This window comes from Homo sapiens, chromosome 2 (genome assembly GCF_000001405.40).
Source record: "Homo sapiens chromosome 2, GRCh38.p14 Primary Assembly".
In the NCBI taxonomy this organism is placed as follows: domain Eukaryota; kingdom Metazoa; phylum Chordata; class Mammalia; order Primates; family Hominidae; genus Homo; species Homo sapiens.
In genome coordinates, this window is record NC_000002.12 from 178,289,518 (window position 1) to 178,309,233 (window position 19,716).

Genomic DNA, 19,716 nt, shown 5'->3' on the forward strand with positions numbered 1-19,716 from the left:
ACATTTTCCTACAGAACCATATTGCCATGTCACACCTAACAATATGAATGATACTTCTTTGGTATCATTTACTACTCATTCCATATTCAAATTTCCCTGATTGTCTCAAAATTCTCTTTTAATAGTTGGTTTATTTGAACCAGATCTGAAGAAGTGCATACATTTCATTTGGCTATTGAGTCTCATAAAACTCTTATCTAGAATATTCCCTTTCTTTTCTCAAGTCATTCACTTGTTGAAGTTAAGCCACTTTGGGAATAGAACTTTCCACATACTAGGTTTGGCTGATTGTTGTTACTTAACTTTTTTCTCTATTACTCAGATTTACTAGAACTTGGAAGTTAGATCAAGAGGCTTGATTGGATTCAGATCTAACTATTCTGGCAAGAATTCTGCTTCCTTTTGCTGTGTACTTTACGTAGTGCCACCTCAGGAGGCACATATGGTCTAGTTACCCCACTTTTAGTGATGCTGTCATTGGACCGTGTTTCGGGGAAGAACATCCTGATCCCCCTGTTCTAAAGTTACCCCATCCGTTTTTTTCACTTCATGATTTTGTCAGCCAATAATCATTGCCTGAATACATTATGTCATTAGGGGTTATAAAAATGGTGACCCCCACCCCATCCTATTATTCCTTCTACATTTGTTAGCTGTCATTCTTTTATAAAGAACTTCCATCATCAACTAGTATTTGGTGGCCCTGAAATACAGTTCATATAGGAAGGGCAGGGTGATTGCTTAATATTTCCCTAGTAATTGACAATATCAGAGTTGGTGCTATAGTTTCTTCAAAAGGTGATATTTCTGCTTTTTAGCGAGAAACTTCCCTTTTTTCTTGAGAATCATTGTAAATTCAAGGATTTAAAAAAATATTTGTTATGTTTCACATACTTAATTGTAGTGGTTTTTTTTTTTTTTTTTCATTTTGATGCTCAAACAAAACCTTCTTTGTTCATTATGAGCCCTTTCAACCTGGCTCCTGTGTATACGTATAGAAAAGAGAACCTATCATATGTGAATCACAGTGAATTTGCACATACTGGACACACCTATATAATCAGCACCCAGACCAAGATACAGAACATCCCCAAAGCATCCCTGGTCCTATTAATTTCTTTGACTCTACTTTTTGATACAACAGGTTGCCCCAAATTCTTTTTGTGCATTCCATACCCCAGTCTAAGAATCAGCCATTCTAAGCAGCCTGGTTCTTTTTAATAGGAAACAGAATTTAGAAACTATAGTCAGGCACTAGGGGTGCTCATTTCCATGGGTTGTCAGTGTTTCCATGCCTTTTCAGGAAACAAGGTGGGAAATACATGTGTCCAAAAAGAAAAAAAAAATGATGAGTTCATGCTGATTTTCCTGAGTTAACTTTATGGAGTCTTAATTTTTTAATTTTATATTTGTATCTTTTTTCTTTTACATTGAAACCATTGGTTCAAAACAGCATTATAAATGTATTTACTTTATCCTTTGGGCACACAAAATAGTTTCAAATTAATAATTTCAGCATGAAAACTACTAATTATTGTTATATTTTTATGTAGAGAAAATCTTACAGAATAAAGAGTTAACTATGAGGTGTTTTTTTTTTTACCTTTTATTATCACTATTATTTTTAGTCATTCAAAATTTCTGTATGAAGACAGAAGATGAATTTTTCTCCCCAACTCCATTTTTAGTATTAATGTTGATATGTTTCTTGGCAGTGATATTCAGTCTATTAAATCTTTAGTTCACCAGATTATCTGAGTTATTTGCAACTCACTGCATCATACGCAGGTGTTCCAGGAGTGACAGTGGGATGATTGTACATTTTGGATGGTAGATCAGTGTGTGCCATATTGAATGGCTTTGTTAGTGTCCACTGTTCATCATCATGCAGGTCCAGAAACAAAGGAAAGATAAACACTCTAAATAAAGCAGAGAGACTGAAGGTGTTCCAGTGTTTTTATTTTATTGCTTCTTCTTTTTATTGCTTCCTTTTATTTGATAAATGGATACTTACGGTACTTGTTTTGGAATGGTTTTCTCTTCTTTGGTTTGTCAAGTGACCAAGTGCATTGTTTCCTGGACACATTTTGTTATATCTGACCCGTGGAGAATGTTAGTGTTCATAGAAAATATAGGAACAGGTAGTCTCTTCCTTCCTTCCTTCCTTCCTTCCTTCCTTCCTTCCTTCTTTCCTCCCTCCCTCCCTCCCTCCTTCCTTTCTTTCCTTCCTTCCTCCCTTTTTCCTTTCCTCCTTCCCTGTTTTCCTTCCTGCCTGCCATCCATCCATCCATCCATCCATCCATCCATCCATTCATCCTTGATGTCTTTTTCCTACAACCAGTTAATTCCTTGAACCTGAATCTCAGAGGTAGGCAATGGAAGGGAAGATGGAGATCTAGACCATTCCCCCTTTTGTCTTTTAAACTTTCATTTTTGACTTTTATTTTAGGTTCAGGGGTACATATACAGGTTTTTTATATAGGTAAACTCATGTCATGGGGGTTTGTTGTACAGATTATTTCATCACCCAGATTAAGCCTAGTACCCCTTAGTCATTTTTCCTGATCCTCTCCCTCCTCCTCCCATCCCCCACCCTCCAGTAAACTTTTTTTTCCCCGAAACTCAATGATTGGTACAGGACCTTCCAGTAAACTTTTAACCCGTCTTCTCAAAATATCTTGTTCCCAAATGACCATAAAATTGAAATCCAACATTTGTGAATTATTTTTCAAATATGTTTTACATACAGAAGAATGATTAATATTTTAATAAGTCTAACTTTGATGGTAATTTAAAATTTTACTTTATTCACTTTGCATATCAAATGATTAATGACAGGAACTACTGTTGCAGTGAACCAACAACACAAATCTCCTTTGAAAGGTTTGGCTTTCCAAGCAACAATTCTAAACTTTGCTCTTGGAAGAAATGACTACAAAGATGAAGGAAAAACACACACGCTCCCCAAAACTTCAACTGTATATGGCTGGTGCTAGTTATTTAAAGGTTTAACGTTTTAGAACTAAGAGTCATCTAAATAGATGTCTTTTATCATGTGTCTTACATCATCCCCTCTATATCTCAAGTGTTTGGTCATTCAGACAGGCTTTAATTCATCCATCCATCCATTCATTCATCCAGCAAAGTCTATTGAGTGTCCACTCAGTATCCTCCAGGCACTGTTATGGGCCCTGGGGTTATAACAAGGAGAGCAGGAAACAAGACAGATGAGGTCTCTGGAGACAGACAGTAAGCCAGTACACAGATAATATAAATACTGCGTGAGATAAGAGCTATGAAGGAAATGAAAAGAGTATTGTTCTAGAAAGTGACAAGGTGTGTGCCTATTCTGAGGTAACACTTGATCTGAGAACTGCAGGGTGATTTGCTGACTTTTTCATGTTTAGAATACCAAATTTGAAAGTACTGTAGAGTTTATTTAAACAATAACTGCAGTTTTGGCATTTGAATTTATTTTCAAATGTCTATTTTTTTTCAACTGGCACTATAAGTAGTTAAAGTTTCAGATGAAAATGTCTTGTTTTGTCAGCTTCTGAAAAACTGGTGAAAACTGGAGGAAGTCTCGGGTAAAGGGTGTATGGGAACTTCCCATAGTATTTTTGTATCTTTCCTGCAAATCTAAAATTATTCCAAAATAAAACATTTAAAAGAAAGATACTGGTGAAGAAATGCCAAAATGTGTACTGAATCAAGTACAGTGTTGCTTAGATTTACAAAGATGAAGAAGCCACACTTCCACAGAAAGGGGTTTTGGGGAGAGTGGTGGGTGGGAGAACCCGTGATCTGAATTCTCTTTCCATTTTGGACTTTTGTCCCATTGCTTATTTTCAAACTAGACAAAAAATAATCTAAAATGCTTCATTTTAATTTCTTAAACTTCAGCAATCCAATACAACCTACAAATAGAGTTAGTTTACGTTTTTGCTTTTCTTTGTGCCCAACTAATTTTTAAAAAATTTTTATGATTAATTTTTGTGGGTATGTAGTAGGTGTATATATTTATGGGGCACATGAGATGTTTTGATATAGGCATGCAATGTGTAATCACATCGTGGAAGATGGGGTATTTATCCCTCAATCATGTATCCTTTGTGTTACAATCCAATTATACTCTTTCAGTTATTTTTACATGTACAATTAAATTATATTGTCTATAGTCTCCCTGTTATGCAATTAAATACTAGGCCCTATTCACTCATTCTAACTATTTTTTGTACCCATTAATCATCCTCACCTCCCCCCACCCTCCACTACCCTTCCCAGCCTCTGCCAACTAATTTTTGACAAAGGCACAACAGCAATTTAATGAAAGAAGAATAGCCTTTTCAACAAATAGTGCTCGAGCAATTGGACATCTGTATATAAAACAGTGAACCTCTAAATTTTATACCTTATATAAAATTAACTCAAAATAGATCACAGATTTAAATATAAAAAGTAAAATTATAAAACTTTTAGAAAAAAATAGGAGAAAATCTTTAGGATCTAGGACTTGACAGTGAGTTCTTAGTCTTTAAAAAAATCCATTTGAGTATTTTATTCAAATAATAATGAAGTATTCAGAAAAACAAAGAATTATCAGCAGTCACCATGTGCACATTGACTGCATGTCCTGGATTTTCTGATTCAGTTTCTCTTTCAATTATTTTATTCTACTTTCCCACTAGGTGTCTTATGCCTAGAATAAATGCACTGCATTGTTCCATATAATTATGGGTTATACCAATTTTGAACCTAATTGAAAAAGGAGGTAAAACCTAAATAACTAGATATTTTTAGAATCTAAAAAATATTTTGAATAGACATATTTCTCCAGATTTGGTTTCAAAGGCAGAAAGAGAGTGAGACAGTCATCATCATTACCAAATAATACATGATAACAGACGTCTTAAAATTATCCAATATTGATTGGAAAACGTTTTTTGAAAGGTACAATTAAGCTACTCAAATGTTTGAAGATTTTCATGAGCTAAATTTTAGTGCTAAGAGCAGGTTGTTGCATTTAATGTTTAAAACAGATATCTTCTGGAATGTAGGATGATGATTAAGGGATAACATCAGCTTTAGGAGAAGAGATTTTAGTATAGCTGTTCCTCAATTTATGATGAGATTAACCTATCATAAAGTCGGAAAATTCTAAGTCAAACCATTGTAAGTTAGTTTCGGCCACCACAGCTATTTTTTTTTTTTTTTGGAACATTTCTGGATTTTTAAAAATCAACAAATCAAAATTGTATATTTTGATTACGTACAACATGTTTTGAAATATATAGACTTGAGGGCACGGCTGAATTGAGCTAATTAACATGTGCATTACCTCACCATTAGCTTTTTTTTTTTTTTTTGTGGTGAGAACATGTAAAATCTACTCTCTTAGCAATTTTCGAGGTCTTTTTTTCTTTTTAGTTCATACATTTTCCTAAAATACTCTTGGACTACTTAGGGTTTTATCCTTCAGGTGGATCTTAGCAATTCTTTTTCTCATGGGGTTTTTAATGAAACTAACATTATAAATAAAACTTTGATGAAAACAAGTTCCTCTTTTATCTTATTAATATTTTTCAATTTGTACATTTGCAAGCATAAAGTATCTTCTTTCACGTGTTAGGGGAGATAGGGAAATCTGGAGTTGGTGAGAAGCAATTAAATTCAGAATGTCCTGTGTAAATGATTTACCAACTGTAGTGCAGATTAACAGACCTGCCTGCCATGGGATGCTGTTTAGTAATCTACAGTCTTTGAAAGTACTTGCCAACACCTGGTTCTAAGAATGCATCTTGTTATTTCATAGTCTAGCGGTTACTCCAAGGTTCAGCACTATAGCCCACAAGCCAAATATGCAGCCTGTTATTATAAATAAAGTTTTATTGGAACATAATCATGTTTATTCACTTGAATATTGTCTAAGGCTACTTCTCCACTACAACGGCAGTTTGAGTAGCCACAGCAGAGATTGTATGGTTCACAACGCCTGAAATATTTTCTGTCTGACCCTTTGCATGAAAGCTTTGCAGAGCACCACCTACCCTCCATCCCCCATCTAGTCAAAGACAGTGACTGGGTTATCTCCTTGGGTTACTGAATCTGGAATCTGATACACTTTGCAATTGCAAGGATTAGTGGACAATGGAAGTCCTGTGGGCTCATGATAGAGCTTTTTGATTTGTTTTCCTTATTGGAAGGTGTTGTGTTTATATAATAAAAATTGTAATAAAACACAATTATAATAAAAATAAAATTATTTAAAGATTAATTATAATAAAAAATTAATGGAGGTACTGTGTTTATAAGAAAGTCATTTTTTGTAAGCTATCTAAAGTTGTTAAAACTAATTTGCAGTATAAAAACCATTTAGGAATATATACAGGTTAAATGCTACATGCTTTAATTATCTCTAAAATTCTTGTTCCAAAACTTTCTTAATTTCAGAGGAAAAATCTTAGCAATTCCTTTATTTTTGGGGCTTTAGGTCTGTGAGTTGGCGGTGATTCTGTGTCTGATACTGTGTTACTATTCCCTAGTTTTGTTGGTGTTAGGCCAGTGAAGAATGGGGCCCAATTGGCAACTCGGCATACCTGCTGCCTGCTGGCAGGCTTATTAAAGCACAGATTGCTGGGCACCACCCTCAGAGGTTTTGATTCACAAGCATAGATGAACTCAAGAATTTGCATTTCCAGGAAGTTCCCAAGTGACACGTTGATCCCAATGGTACCCTTGAGAACCTATGTAGTAGATGATTAGCACTGCCATTTCCCAAGCTTGGGGTTTGTGAAGAAGAGTTATTACTATCCCTGTTTTATAGATGAGGAAACTGAAGCAAAGAGAGACTTCAGTAAATTGCCTGAGGTTTCATAGCTAGGAAATGGCGGTGTTGGGACTGGCTTCAAACCCAGGCAATCCATGGGATATTTTAGAGTAAAAATAAAAATGAAAACCACTACAAGAGAAACCACTACAATGAAAACCACCACACACACTGGTGTACTGGCAAATGTTTAACAATCAGCTCTTAAAAACAAAACAAAACAAAACAAAAAGCCCAGATTTGAAGCATTCACATGGCATAGATACTCCCACCATAGTCTATTTCAAGGTCCCAGGGGAATGTCTTTGAAGCCCTAAACTGGGGAGAGATGCACATAGCTCCTGAGCTAGTGCAAGCCAGCTCCAGCTCACCACTAGATACGTGCCAAGGTTACCACACTCCAATTAAATGAGTTCACAAGGCTGCAGAACCTGGGACCTGGCAGTGGATTCTCGGTTATGTCAGCTGTTCCTTCTCTCATGTAACAATGAATGAGCAATAATTGAAACCAACACTCATGCTCGAATGCCCAACACGAGTAGAATTTTGGACATCCTGATATGTGGGTAATGGCTTGCATAAACACTGCTATTCTGGAGGATGACAGGTTTTCAAAATTCTGCTTAAGATTCCTGACCATGAGATGTTGTAATTAGTAGATGGTATCTAGTAAATCAGGTGCCAGGTGCCATAATTCTGTGTGGCCAGGCTAACCCATCAGTGGTGTTTTGAAAGAATTAATGCTACTGCATCTATTTCCTATTCCTAATGTCCCTCAGGCCCCTATAGTACTGTTAGCAGTCTGGCAGGCCTTTTTTTTTAGGACAACTGAGAGATTTTATCTTGGGAATGTTGAACCTTGTACAGTCTTTCTCTCCAGCTCACTATTGAACAGATAGGAAACTCCAGTCTACAAAGCATGTGGATTATTTTGGGTTATCTTTAGGCAAATATAGTAAAATTAAAGAACTAGGCTGGGTACAGTGGCTCACGCCTCTAATCCCAACACTTTGGGAGGCTGAAGTGAGAGGATTGCTTGAGTCCAGGAGTTCAAGAGCAGCTTGGGCAACATAGTGAGACCACCATCTCAAAAAAATTAGAAAAGAAAAAGAACTAATATTAGGGTGGATATCTACAGTCTGCAAGCACAATCAATGTTATTTAATGGATATAATGATGGAAGATTTAAGTCCTAATTAAAGTGATAAGCTCAGTAAACAACCTGAATGGCTTTTGTGGCTCATGACATTTGACTATGATGAGAAAAGTGACATACTCCTCACCTTCATGGATCTTACAGAATCAAGTCAAATAAATACAGTGCAGTATATGTTCAGAAATATATGTATGTGTATGTATAGAAGAAATGCAGATTGGCGTGACAATTCTGTCTAATAGGTTGGAAAGATTTCATAAAGAAGATGAAACTTGACCACAAAATAGTATAAAATTAATGTCTGCATATTGTAGAAGTCATAATAGCTGGTGATTCAGGAACTTTTTATTGTAGTAAAATATGTAGCATAAAATTTATCATTTTAACTGCTTTGAAGTGTCCACTTCTGTATCATTAAGTGCATTCACATTGTTTGGTATCCATCACCACCATGCATTTCCAGAACCTTTCCATCTTTCAAAGTGAAATTCTGTAACCACTAAACACAACTCTTCCCATTTCCTCCTCCTTACAGACCCTGATAACCACCATTCTACCTTCTGTCTTTATACATTTGACTACTTTGCATACCTCATATCTCATATAAGTGAAATCATACAGTATTTGTTTTTTGTTCTTTTGTGCCTAGCTTATTTCACTTTAAAATGATGCCTTCAGGGTCCATCTGTGTCATTACATGTGTCAGAATTTCCTTCCTTTTTAAGGCTGAATAATATTCCATTGTATGGATATAACCCTTTTTTAAATATATTCATTCATTCATTGATGGACACTTGGGTTGCTTCCGCATTTTGGCTACATGCTGCTATGGACATGGTTGTACAGTATCTTAGCCTGTGATTTTAGTTCTTTTGGGGCATATACCTAAAAGTGGAATTGTTGGATCATATGGCAATCTATTTTTAGTTTTTTGTTTGTTTGAGATGGAGTTTTGCTCTTGTTGCCCAGGCTGGAGTGCAGTGGCACGAGCTCAGCTCGCTGCAGCCTTCACCTCCCAGGTTCAAGCAATTCTCCTGCCTCAGCCTCTTGAGTAGCTGAGATTACAGGCAAGTACCATCACATTCAGCTAATGTTTTGTATTTTTATTAGAGACCTCAGGTGATCTGCCCACCTCTTCCTCCCAAAGTGCTGGGATTACAGGTGTGAGCCACCATGCCCAGCCTATTTTTAGTTGCTTTTTTTTTTGTTTTTTTTTTTTTGCCGTACTGTTCTCCACAGGACCTACATCATTTTCTATTCCCACCAGCAATGCACAAGGGTTGGTTCAAGGACATTTTTAACCCAAGTCATTTTGTCTGCTTTAGCCAACTCCTCAGAATGCCTTGACTCAGTGCAGAAATGGTTGTTTTGACAGGAAATTGCTCCAGAGAACAGGACATGTACTGTTGAAATCATATAGTGCCTTAGTAAGAATTTGTACACACCTAGGGATTTATGAGTCATCATTTAAGGTCACAAAGTAGGGCAAAATATTTTGTTATGTCTTATTGTTGCCAAAAAGTCTTAGCACTGTGCTGACAATTGGTATCTGTTAGCAGTCATTGAAACCATATTTCCCAGTATTATTTTTCTGTTAAAATATGAGCTATGACATTATCTAATCTTTCTTTCAAAACATGTTGGCAAAGGCCAGAAACCAAGTGATGAATCAAAAAGTGACTGACAAGTCTTGGAAAATTATTACTGGTGAAATGATCACTTACTATGCATTTAAGGTTTTTCCATGTCTTTTCATGGCCTTGATAGCTCATATCTTTTTTGCACTGAATAATATTCTTACTGATATTTTTAAGATCCTTTTTGTCGTTGCATAGACTAGTTTCTAGAATTCTTGTCTGTTCCATTTGCTTTTCCTGGCCCTGTACTACTACTATTAACCAGGGAAGCTGTTAAATAGCTTTAGTGTGTGATAAGTAAAGTATCTTTCATTATTTTTTAGAATATTCTTTGTTATTCTCATATGTTTACTCTTCCAGATGAACTTACTTTTTTTCTTTCTTTCCTTCCTTCCTTTCTTTGTTTTGTTTCTTTCTATTCTTTCTTTCGCTCCTTGTGGAGCAAAGTTAACCCATAAGCAGTGCATCCAGAGTAGCCCAGATGAACTTTAAAATAATATTGCCAAGTCATTAAAAATCCTGTTATGATTTTGGTAACGATTACATTAAATTGTGTCAATATGAGAGTAATAAGTGTTTTACAATATTTAGTTCACTGTAAAACTTACTTCAGATACAAAATTCAGATGTAGAGCTAAACAAAGTAAAAGATATGATTCCTTCTTCATTCTTTCTTTTCCCTTTTCCCACCCATCAGGTTTGATGGCTGTCCACATCAAGGATGAGGGTTTGTCTTATTCATTTACTTAGTAAGGGGCCTAAGAAGAGTGGAGAGAGATTAGAGGCTTGATGAGTTGAAATCAGGAAACTTGCATCTAGGATTTTCTAATGAGGTTCCTCCAAATTCTCTGTAAATAGTTACGCAAATATTTAAAAAGACAAACTGTCAATAACCCAAACACTAGCTTCAAACAGAATAATACAATGTCAAACTATAGAGGACTAAACCCTAATTTTATGAAAGCTATATATCTCAAATTGAGGAAAATCTAGCCAAGTTTTGATTATGACAAACCTTATCTTCACTTACAGAAAAGGAGTTGGCTTTTCTTACAATTTGTCCTCACACTTTGAGATCCCTGTAGGTCCCAATTAGAAAAAGTGGCAGCGTTCCAAGGGATGGGCAGGGGGTTCAGATGTTCCTCATAGACAAGGAGTGACACTCCAGGTGGATCACTCCATTATTCCTTTGCTTGGGACTGTGGACACACATTCTTCTTAGACCATAGGGTCACTCTCAGGGTGTGCTTAACTTATTGCTGTCAGATGTATCTGCCATAGAGAGGGTAAGGGAGGCAGGATGAAGGTCTGCTTTTTTTGTCTGTTTACAGCGGGGGCAGCGGGGACAGGGTCTCGCTCTGTCACCTAGGTGGGAGTGCAGTGGTATGATCTCAGGTCACTGCAACCTCTACCTCCTGGGTTCAAGTGATTCTTGTGCCTCAGCCTCCCGAATAGCCGGGATCACAGGCGTGTGTCACCATGCCCAGCTAATTTGTGTAGTTTTAGTAGAGACAGGGTTTCGCCATGTTGGCCAGGCTGGTCTTGAACTACTGGCCTCAAGTGATCCTACTTATCCTCCCAAATGCTGGGATTACAGGCATGAGCTACCACACCCAGTCCCATTTTACTCTTAACTGTCACTTACAGACTGTAGATTCCAGCGTGATTTAGAGAAATGTAAAGGGAAATGGAAATAGAACTTTAAAAGGAGAATTATATCTTTCAAATTATTGTCAAATATAAAAGGCTATTAAAACCATATGAAAGTCAGTATGCTGCAAAAGCCAGATTACCAAGCAAAGCCATCAAGCATTAAAGGAAACAAAGAAGAACCAAAAAAATAGAAAGTACAAAATGATATGGCAGGGGTAAGATCAATTATTAGTTAAAACATTAAATAGAAATTGGAAATACTTCACTAAAATTAGATTTTTTGAACAATTCAACCTGATCATTACTAGAGGGACACATAATATAAAATATACAGGAAGTTTAAATGGGAAGGATGGACAAAGTTTATTTAATCACTTGCAAGCAGAAAGGGAAGAGATGATATCAGATAAAGCAAAACAAAAAGTGTTAAAAGGAATGAAAAGGGTCATTTTTATAATGATCAAGACTAAATGTATAACTATTACAGACTCTTTTGTGATAAATCTCATTGTTCCAAAATATACTGAGTACAACCTAAACGTCCCAAAAGAAGAATGGTTAAATGTATTGTGGTATATCTGTGTGGTAGTCTTATTTGTAATGGTTAAGAATGGTATTGTTGAAGTTTCTTTGTTTATCAAAAAAGCCATTAGTGATATATTGTTGATCAAAAAACCATACTGCAGATAGTGTGAATATTATGCTTCTACTTTGATTAAAGTAGAACCAAAAATGTTAACAAGGGTTATCTCTCAGTGATGTAACTGGAGTCAATTTAAATATTTTCAACTGTACTTTTAATCTTTTCCTATAGTTTATATAGTAAATTATCATTATACCCAAATATCTACTGCCTCGCCTACTGGGAGAACTATAGTTTCATGCATCATTGACTCACCTAGGCCATGTGACTCGTTTTGGCCAATAAAACGTGAGTGAGCTAACCTGTACCACCTACAAGCAAAAGCTCTAAGAACCATCCCATGGTTCTGCAATGGCTCTTTGCCCTGCCTCTCCTGGGGGCTGTTTGTTAAGCCTGGAATGAAGAGCACTCAAGGTAGGTCTGCAGCTGACCTAAAGGACATGTAAATGAGCTAAAAATAAACCTTTCTTGTAAGCCTCTTGGAAGCAGAGAGACGGGGCCCTAACCTACTGGTGCCTTGATTTATCAGCCTTCAGGACTGTGAGAAAGACATTTGGGGCTTGGTTGTGACTCATTGCAACTTAGCCCAGGGCAAGTGGTCCCCAATCTTAAGTGTTTTTCTGGACACATACAATTTATGATGCCTTTGAACAGCAAGTTCTAGAAGTCTTCCCTACCAGCTTTTGCTTTAATTAGGTCCCTGGGTCATAAATCTGAGATTTATGCCACTCAATGAAAATGCAAATGTTACAGCACTTAGCAATACTTGTAGTGTTCCCACTGTTACAAAGGAAGAATGAGACAGAAAAATTAGATGTTCAGCTCTCTCATATTGCTGTTATTTTCAGTCACAATACGTTTCTCATTGAGTATAGTAATTATGTTGGTGTTGTGTTGACTTTAAAATTTATGGCCTTTCTTTGGTTTAGAATATTGTTTAGGCAATTTCTGAAAATGTTCTTTCGTAGAGATGACTTTTTTTTATGTTATAGCAGTTCCTACACTCTAAAGAATAACCTTCTCTCAGAGTTTAGACTTACTTTTATAATGCATTTGAAAAAGAGCAGGTGGTCAAACACTTGATTGAAAATTGGTTGGAATAATCTTTAAAGGGCATCTCATTCAACTTTATATTAAGTACTTGAAACCCTTTCTGTTAAAAAAAATAACAAAAATTAATAGAAACAACAACAATAACCTCAAAAACAATTCTTGGAATGAATTAAGTTCTCTTACTTTTTCTTCATTTTGCTATTATTCAACATATTTAAACTGTAGTTCAACTGAAATGTTGCCCTTTTATCATAAACAAGTTATCCTGAAAATGCCATTTTAAATTAAAACAAAAATCAAGGTGTTAGCATTGATGTTAATGAAAAAAGTACAGTTTTTTAAATGAAAAAATCCAGCAGAGGAAATATACCTTGGATTGAATTTACTTCCAAATGGATTTCAGTTTAATGAGTTAGGTTGTTACAACCTCATCCCTTGGAAGCACTTGAACGCATCACAAAAGTACCTCCTTTTTGGCTCAAGAGTCAGTATCTACTTGTAAAACATCTGGGACCAGAAAACTAAGTACTTCAAATCAAGGATCCGAGCAGTGTCTGTGCATTCTGTTTGCTGGCACCACAGCTTGGAATCAGAAACTTCACTCACTTATTAGAATGCCTTCATAAAACAAAAAGATTAGATGATCATCTGTCAAGTGGAGGTTTATTACTACCTTTTGCCAATAATGAATGAAACTATCTCTAGCTCACAGAAGAGATATACAGCGCTTTCCATTTCTGTTTGTCCAAAGGCTAGTTTTGTTTCAAGAGAAAGTCTCCCAGTTTGGAGGGAAAGTAGCTTTCATTTTTCCTGCGGTGACAGTGAAGTTGAAATTTTAAGACTGGATTACAAGTTCTATTCACTAGAATGTCCAGTTTTCACAGTTTACAAAAATTCCCCCTGTAATTATTGGGATTGTTCTTTTAGGTATTCTCTATAAACAGGTGACCATTAAAATCCTGAATAACACATTCAGGGTGACATAATCCATTATTAAAAATATAACTATAGGACCATATAAAATTTCATTTACTGGCACATATGAAATTTACATGATCTTAAAGGATCTGATTAATATATCTGTATCATTACCATAGTCTATTAAACATTTACATCTCCAGCCTAGATTTCCCTGAGCTCCAGACCTACATTTCCAAGAGTTTGTCTCCAACTGAATGTCTTCAGCAATGTCTCTAACCACAGTCATGACTTTCCCATGGATCTTGGATTTCCTTTGACCATTTCTTGCTCAGAATGCCAGAGACCTGAGATTTAGCCTCAACCCTGCCTCCCCGACCATGTCCAGTCACAGGACACAGGACTCAATGTTGGAATTTCTGCCAGCACTCTCCCATCCTCTCCTGAGTCCTGATTGGGCCCTCCTCATCTTCTTTACTTCCCCACTTGGAGTCTCCCCACAGCTGCCAAAATCACCCTTTAGTAACACAAATCTGGTTACGTCTCGATGGCTTCTCATGCTTATGATAAAAATCAAAATGCCAATGTCTTAGTCCACTTGTGCTTCTATAACAGAATACCCAAGACTGGGTAAGTTATAAAGAACATAAATTTCTTTCTCACAGTTCCGAAGGCTGGGAAATCAAGGCACCAGCAGGTTAGGGCCCTGTCTCTCTGCTCCCAAGAGGCACTTCAAATGCTGCATCCTCTGGAGAGGAGGAACCTCATGTCGTCATATGGCAGGAAAGCAGAAGAGAGAGAACCCACTCCCACAAGCTGTATCAGTCAATTCTCATGCTGCTAATAAAGACATACCCAAGAGCACCTAATTTATAAAGGAAAGAGGTTTAATTGACTCACGGTTCTGCATGGCTGGGGAGGCCTTAGGAAACTTATAATCATGGCAGAAGGGGAAGCAAACACTTCCTTCTTCACATGTCAGCAGCGAGGAGAAATGCCAAACAAAAGAGGAGAAAGCCCCTTACAAAACCATCAGGTCTGACCTCTCATGAGGACAGGATGAGGGTAACCGCCCCCAAGATCAAATTACTTCTCATCTGGTTCCTCCCATGACATATGGGGATTATGGGAACTACAATTCAGGATGAGATGTGGGTGGGAACACAACCAAACCATATCACAAGCTGTTTATATAGTGGCACTAACCTAGTCACAAGGGCTCCACCCTCATGACCTAAACACCTCCCATTAGGCCTCACTTCCCAATACTGTTGCGTTGGGGTTAGGTTTCTAACACATGAATTTTGGTGCACATATTCAGACCATAGCAACTGTCATGGCCTACAAGGTCCTGCAGGGACTGGTCTCTGCATTTCTTTGACCACCATATCGCCATATCTCTGACTCTAGTCATATTGGCTACCACTCATCTGTTGATCATGTCACGCCAGACACCCTGGTACTTAGTAAACCGCTCATTCTTTGGACCTCAGCTCTAACTCCCAGATCCATTAGTTCACCTCAGTCACTGTCTTCATAATGCCCATATATCTCCATCTTTTTTTGTTTATCTGATTCAGTGTCTCACCCTCTGGACTGAAGTTCAGGTCTCACTTTTTTGTGGCCTAAAAATTGATTTCTGTTTCCTGCTAGCAGCTTTCCTTCCCAGCCTGTGCTAACAAGCCTACACAAGTGTTCTGGTGTTCTGTACTTCCTCCAAGAAGATATTAGCATTAAGATGGGGGCTAGAATGTGACCTTCTTCTTGTAAGAGGATAAAGTTCACTTTAATTGTCTATCTTTTGGGAAATATCATTTTTTAAGCTTTTAATGTTATACCATAGTGCTTACCTTTTAACATTTTTTAGCATAGCTGTGTTGGAGACAAGGCCAATTTAAGAGCTTCTCTCTGACACAAGCTTTAACCTTAATACTAACAATGCAAACCTTCCTTACATGAATCCAAGTAAAAAAATTGAAGTGGCTGTTGGCTGTGCATAAGTGAAGGAACTCCATTTACCCCTGCTCTAAGATAACCTGTCAATCTGTAGATGTTTGCGAGCATGTTGGTTGTTGAGAGTCACATGTAGGCATGCTGTAGTTTTGAGGTACAAATAAATGTGGATATATGTATTCCTGGATCCTTCACAAATGCTGGATCACAGGATGCACACAATGTGTTAACTCTTTTGTAACTGACTACTTTGTGTTGGATTAACCGTCACATACATGACATAGCTAAACTAAACTGAAGACAAACATGGACCGAGCTCTTATTCTAGTCCATTGGGTAGGAGAGATTACGTTTCCGGAGGAGAATCTGGCGTCTTTAGCATCAGGGTCTCAAATATAGCGTTATAATCTGCTTTAAAACAAAGAAAATGCAAGAGGAGAGAATATGACTTTAGTACATGATTTCTTCCCATTTTGCTTGTTAACAGTCCTTTTTTTTTTTTTTTTTACACACTGACACTTTCATCTTCCGCCTTAAAATCTAGAGGAAGAAGTATTTCCTAATGTGTCAGAGTTCCTCCTCTCACTAACACAAATTAATATTTCATCCTAAAGATAATGATTTTAATTTGACTTTTAATTACTTATATGAGGCTTGTTTGTTTTGCTTTTAGGTGGTTTGGACACCCTCAATATTGCCTGCTCTTTTCTAGTCAAACCTGATTCATGAAATGGAATGAAGCTGAAAAATCATCTACTTCTTTGTTTGTGGATTTGAGAGAAGATTGGGATGGTCTTAAGTGCATAAAACGAGACTCTAACTGCAGCGATGAGTTCAGATGAGAAGGGCATTTCCCCTGCTCATAAAACATCCACTCCAACCCATAGAAGTGCCTCCTCTTCAACATCCTCCCAAAGGGACAGTAGGCAGGTAAGAGAAGAGCATTAAGTGCCTTTGGTTGTTTTATGCAAATGCAATACCACTGAGATAGGATGGGGTTGCTAATTAATTCTGAAATTTTGTTGTAAAGTCTTTTATTCCAAGTGAAAAATCGTCATTTTCTGTAGGTACGTTCATTGATGTCATGAAGCTCCCACTCTTGCTTCTCTGTGATTTAGGACTCTTTTTTAGAAGGCAGACACAGAAGGCTGGTAGGGTGGCTATGAGAAGCCCTGCCGTCTTTTCCTCCCTGCACCTGGAGGGGGAGCCAGCATCAAGAACTTGAACACTCTTCTCTTCGTTCATGGAGGTGGAAAGGGAACTGTGAACCCTGCAAAGGACGTCTTCCTATAAGGCTGTCACTGGGCTGCCAAGCCCTAACTCTGTTTGGTATTTTGTGGAATCTGGTAACAGCTAGATTCAGGAATTAGGTTACAGATAAAATTGTAATACCAGGAATTAAGAGCTGTGAGAACCCAAACAATGTTTACAGGCAACAGAGAAAGTAAATGGTTATTACTTAATCATGGTAGAAAACGCCCATGGTCCCATTTGAGCCAGTTTTGCAAGTTATTTTTGTTATGTCATTACTGTTGAAGTGGCGATTCTGCTGGCAGGGTTATGTGAGCCTTCATCGTATGAATGTTCTTCACTGTCAGAACAGGTTGTTATTTCAGCCAGCACAGGTCTGAGCATGATTATTTTCCATCATAATTTGTCTTGTGATAGTATCTTGGTTGTGTAACTGGAAATTCCCAATAAGTAGGTGTTATTACCTTTTTATAAAAGTTTTCCGTTTTGGCAACTTTCAATTAGTGAGCATCATGCAGGTTCTCCTTCACCCCCTCCACCCCTCACCCCCTGTTTTATGTTTTCAGAGCATATTACCTAGATTCTAGGAGTGTGAGCATCAGTTATTTGATTGGCCATCATATAGACATGGGTCTTGAGACAGCCACTTCCAAAAATGAATTCATTTTCGATAGTGCAAGTACACTGCTGGGGATGCTTTTTAGGAAACCCTCCCAACACTCTCTCTCCCTTTTTAGCAAGAAATTCCAGGAGAATCTGTAAGAATCCAGGGGTGCTAATGTATATATCTTTCACAGATCCTAAGGCAGGTGTTTCTACTCCAGGGTCTTGGGGAACTTTTGATACTGGTGTCTTTTGTTATTGAGTTCAAAGACGACACCTATATTCGGTTCTTTAGAAGTAGTCATGCCATTAAATCTGTGATTACACACAGTTATAATATTTATTGTATTGCACTTACAGAGTCAAAGAAAGTAAGAGTACCAGGAATGGAAGCACTTTTATATTAAATAACTACTATATTCTGAGATGCTTTCTAAGTTTGCAAATTTAGTCTACCTTTGCCTGCCCTGCTGTTCTTTCTTGTTATGGCTCTTCCATTTTTCCCTTCCCTGGGCATTTAAACAGAGAGAGAGTCATTGTAAGCAGCATGACCTTCCTGACTGCTGGGAAGAAGGAAGCAGTTGACCCGGCTCACCCTGGAGAATTGTGGCAAATGGTAAAGACGGATGACTCCTGTAGAAACATCTATCATGCGTTGTTATTCTGCCTGTTGCACCCGAGCTCCAGGACGGGCACGCAAAGCAATAGGGAAACACTGAGACCCTGGTGTGCCGGAGGGAGCATGAAGGTGGAATGTGTGACTCCTCACTGGCTTGTGAATGAAAAGTTTTATGATGGGAATGAAAGGAGCATGTCTGTACATGGATAATGAGTTCTAGAAAAGTAAGAGACGCTTTTCAAAGGGTTATTATTCTTTAAGGAGAGAGTTTATTTTTACTCCTATTTATCTCAGCAGGTGGAAACGCTCCCAAAAACTTTCTTCCCTGGTTCCTTCCTGACTCCTGTTTTGTGTCTGTCTACCTCCCTAAGGGGAGAGAAGAATAGAAGAGATCAATTACAGTTCTGTTTTTCCTTCCTTATCTCAATCACTGCCTAAACCTCAGAATTAACTTAGGGAACTCAGATATTTTGACTGATCATGTGATGTGATGTAGTGTTTTTTATATGCATCTATTTTTGTGTGATAACTGTTTTCATAGTGAAGGGACATAGAGAAAGTGTGATAAATTTGGCTTCATTGAATCCTTTCCATTCTCCTGATTTGACTGACATCTATGCAGATGGTGCCAAATTGCAAACTCCAGCCCCATTTCTCTCCTAAATTAGGATCTAGCACATAGCTGAGAATACAGTGGTATCTTAATGCACATTATTTGCCTTTCCTTCTCAAGTTCTAATCGTAGGTAACTAATGAATGATTGAGCATTTCTACTTAAATGCACTGCCGCTTGAGTGGTACCACTGTGTCTTAAATCAATATGTATAAACCAATTTGCTATCAGGATAACCATTCTCTTAGAGATCCAGGGTCAATGTCTGTCTTTCTCCTTTGCTTCTCCCACATTCAATAGGTTAACAAGTCCTATTGATCATTTCCTCCTTCATAATATTATAATTTCCTTCTATTCCCACTGTCAGCTCCCTCTCACAGCTCTCATCACCTCTACCCAGGATCCTGCAGAGTGCGCTTGCCTCACTATCTCACTTATGGCCTCACCATTTCAAATGTCCTGAGTAGGGCAGATTCATGCTCAAAATCCATCAGACTCATTGTTACCTACACAATTAAGGCCACAGTTTCTTACTTGGAACCCCATGTCTAGCATGATCTGGTCCAGGCTTGTGTTCCATTTTCCTCCCAACCTCAACAGTCTTGTCTGATCATAGTCCTGAACTGCCCTGTCTTTATCTCTACTTGCCTTTCCTGCATGGAATTCCCACCACCCTCCTCTCAACCAGATGCCTCCCTATGCCTCAAAGACCGGCTCATATGACACTCCCACTGGCCACGCAAACCCACTTTACCCTCTCCTTCCTCTGAACTTTTATAGACCTTTTTGAC

The 19,716-nt window shown here is 37.6% G+C and overlaps 1 protein-coding gene across 48 annotated transcripts in view; it reads left to right on the forward strand.

Moving 5' to 3' along the window:
- Window positions 1-19,716, forward strand: part of OSBPL6 (oxysterol binding protein like 6) — a 209,120-nt gene that overhangs the window by 95,744 nt on the left and 93,660 nt on the right. For 38 of the 48 annotated variants that reach the window (XM_047443146.1, XM_047443150.1, XM_047443130.1 and 35 more), the window contains one exon: window positions 16,513-16,769. In XM_047443146.1, coding sequence (XP_047299102.1) covers window positions 16,668-16,769 — 102 coding nt within the window. In that variant the 5' untranslated portion in view covers window positions 16,513-16,667. The remainder of the gene's footprint in view (window positions 1-16,512; window positions 16,770-19,716) is intronic. The other 10 variants (XM_047443132.1, XM_017003267.3, XM_017003269.3 and 7 more) reach the window with 1 other exon arrangement.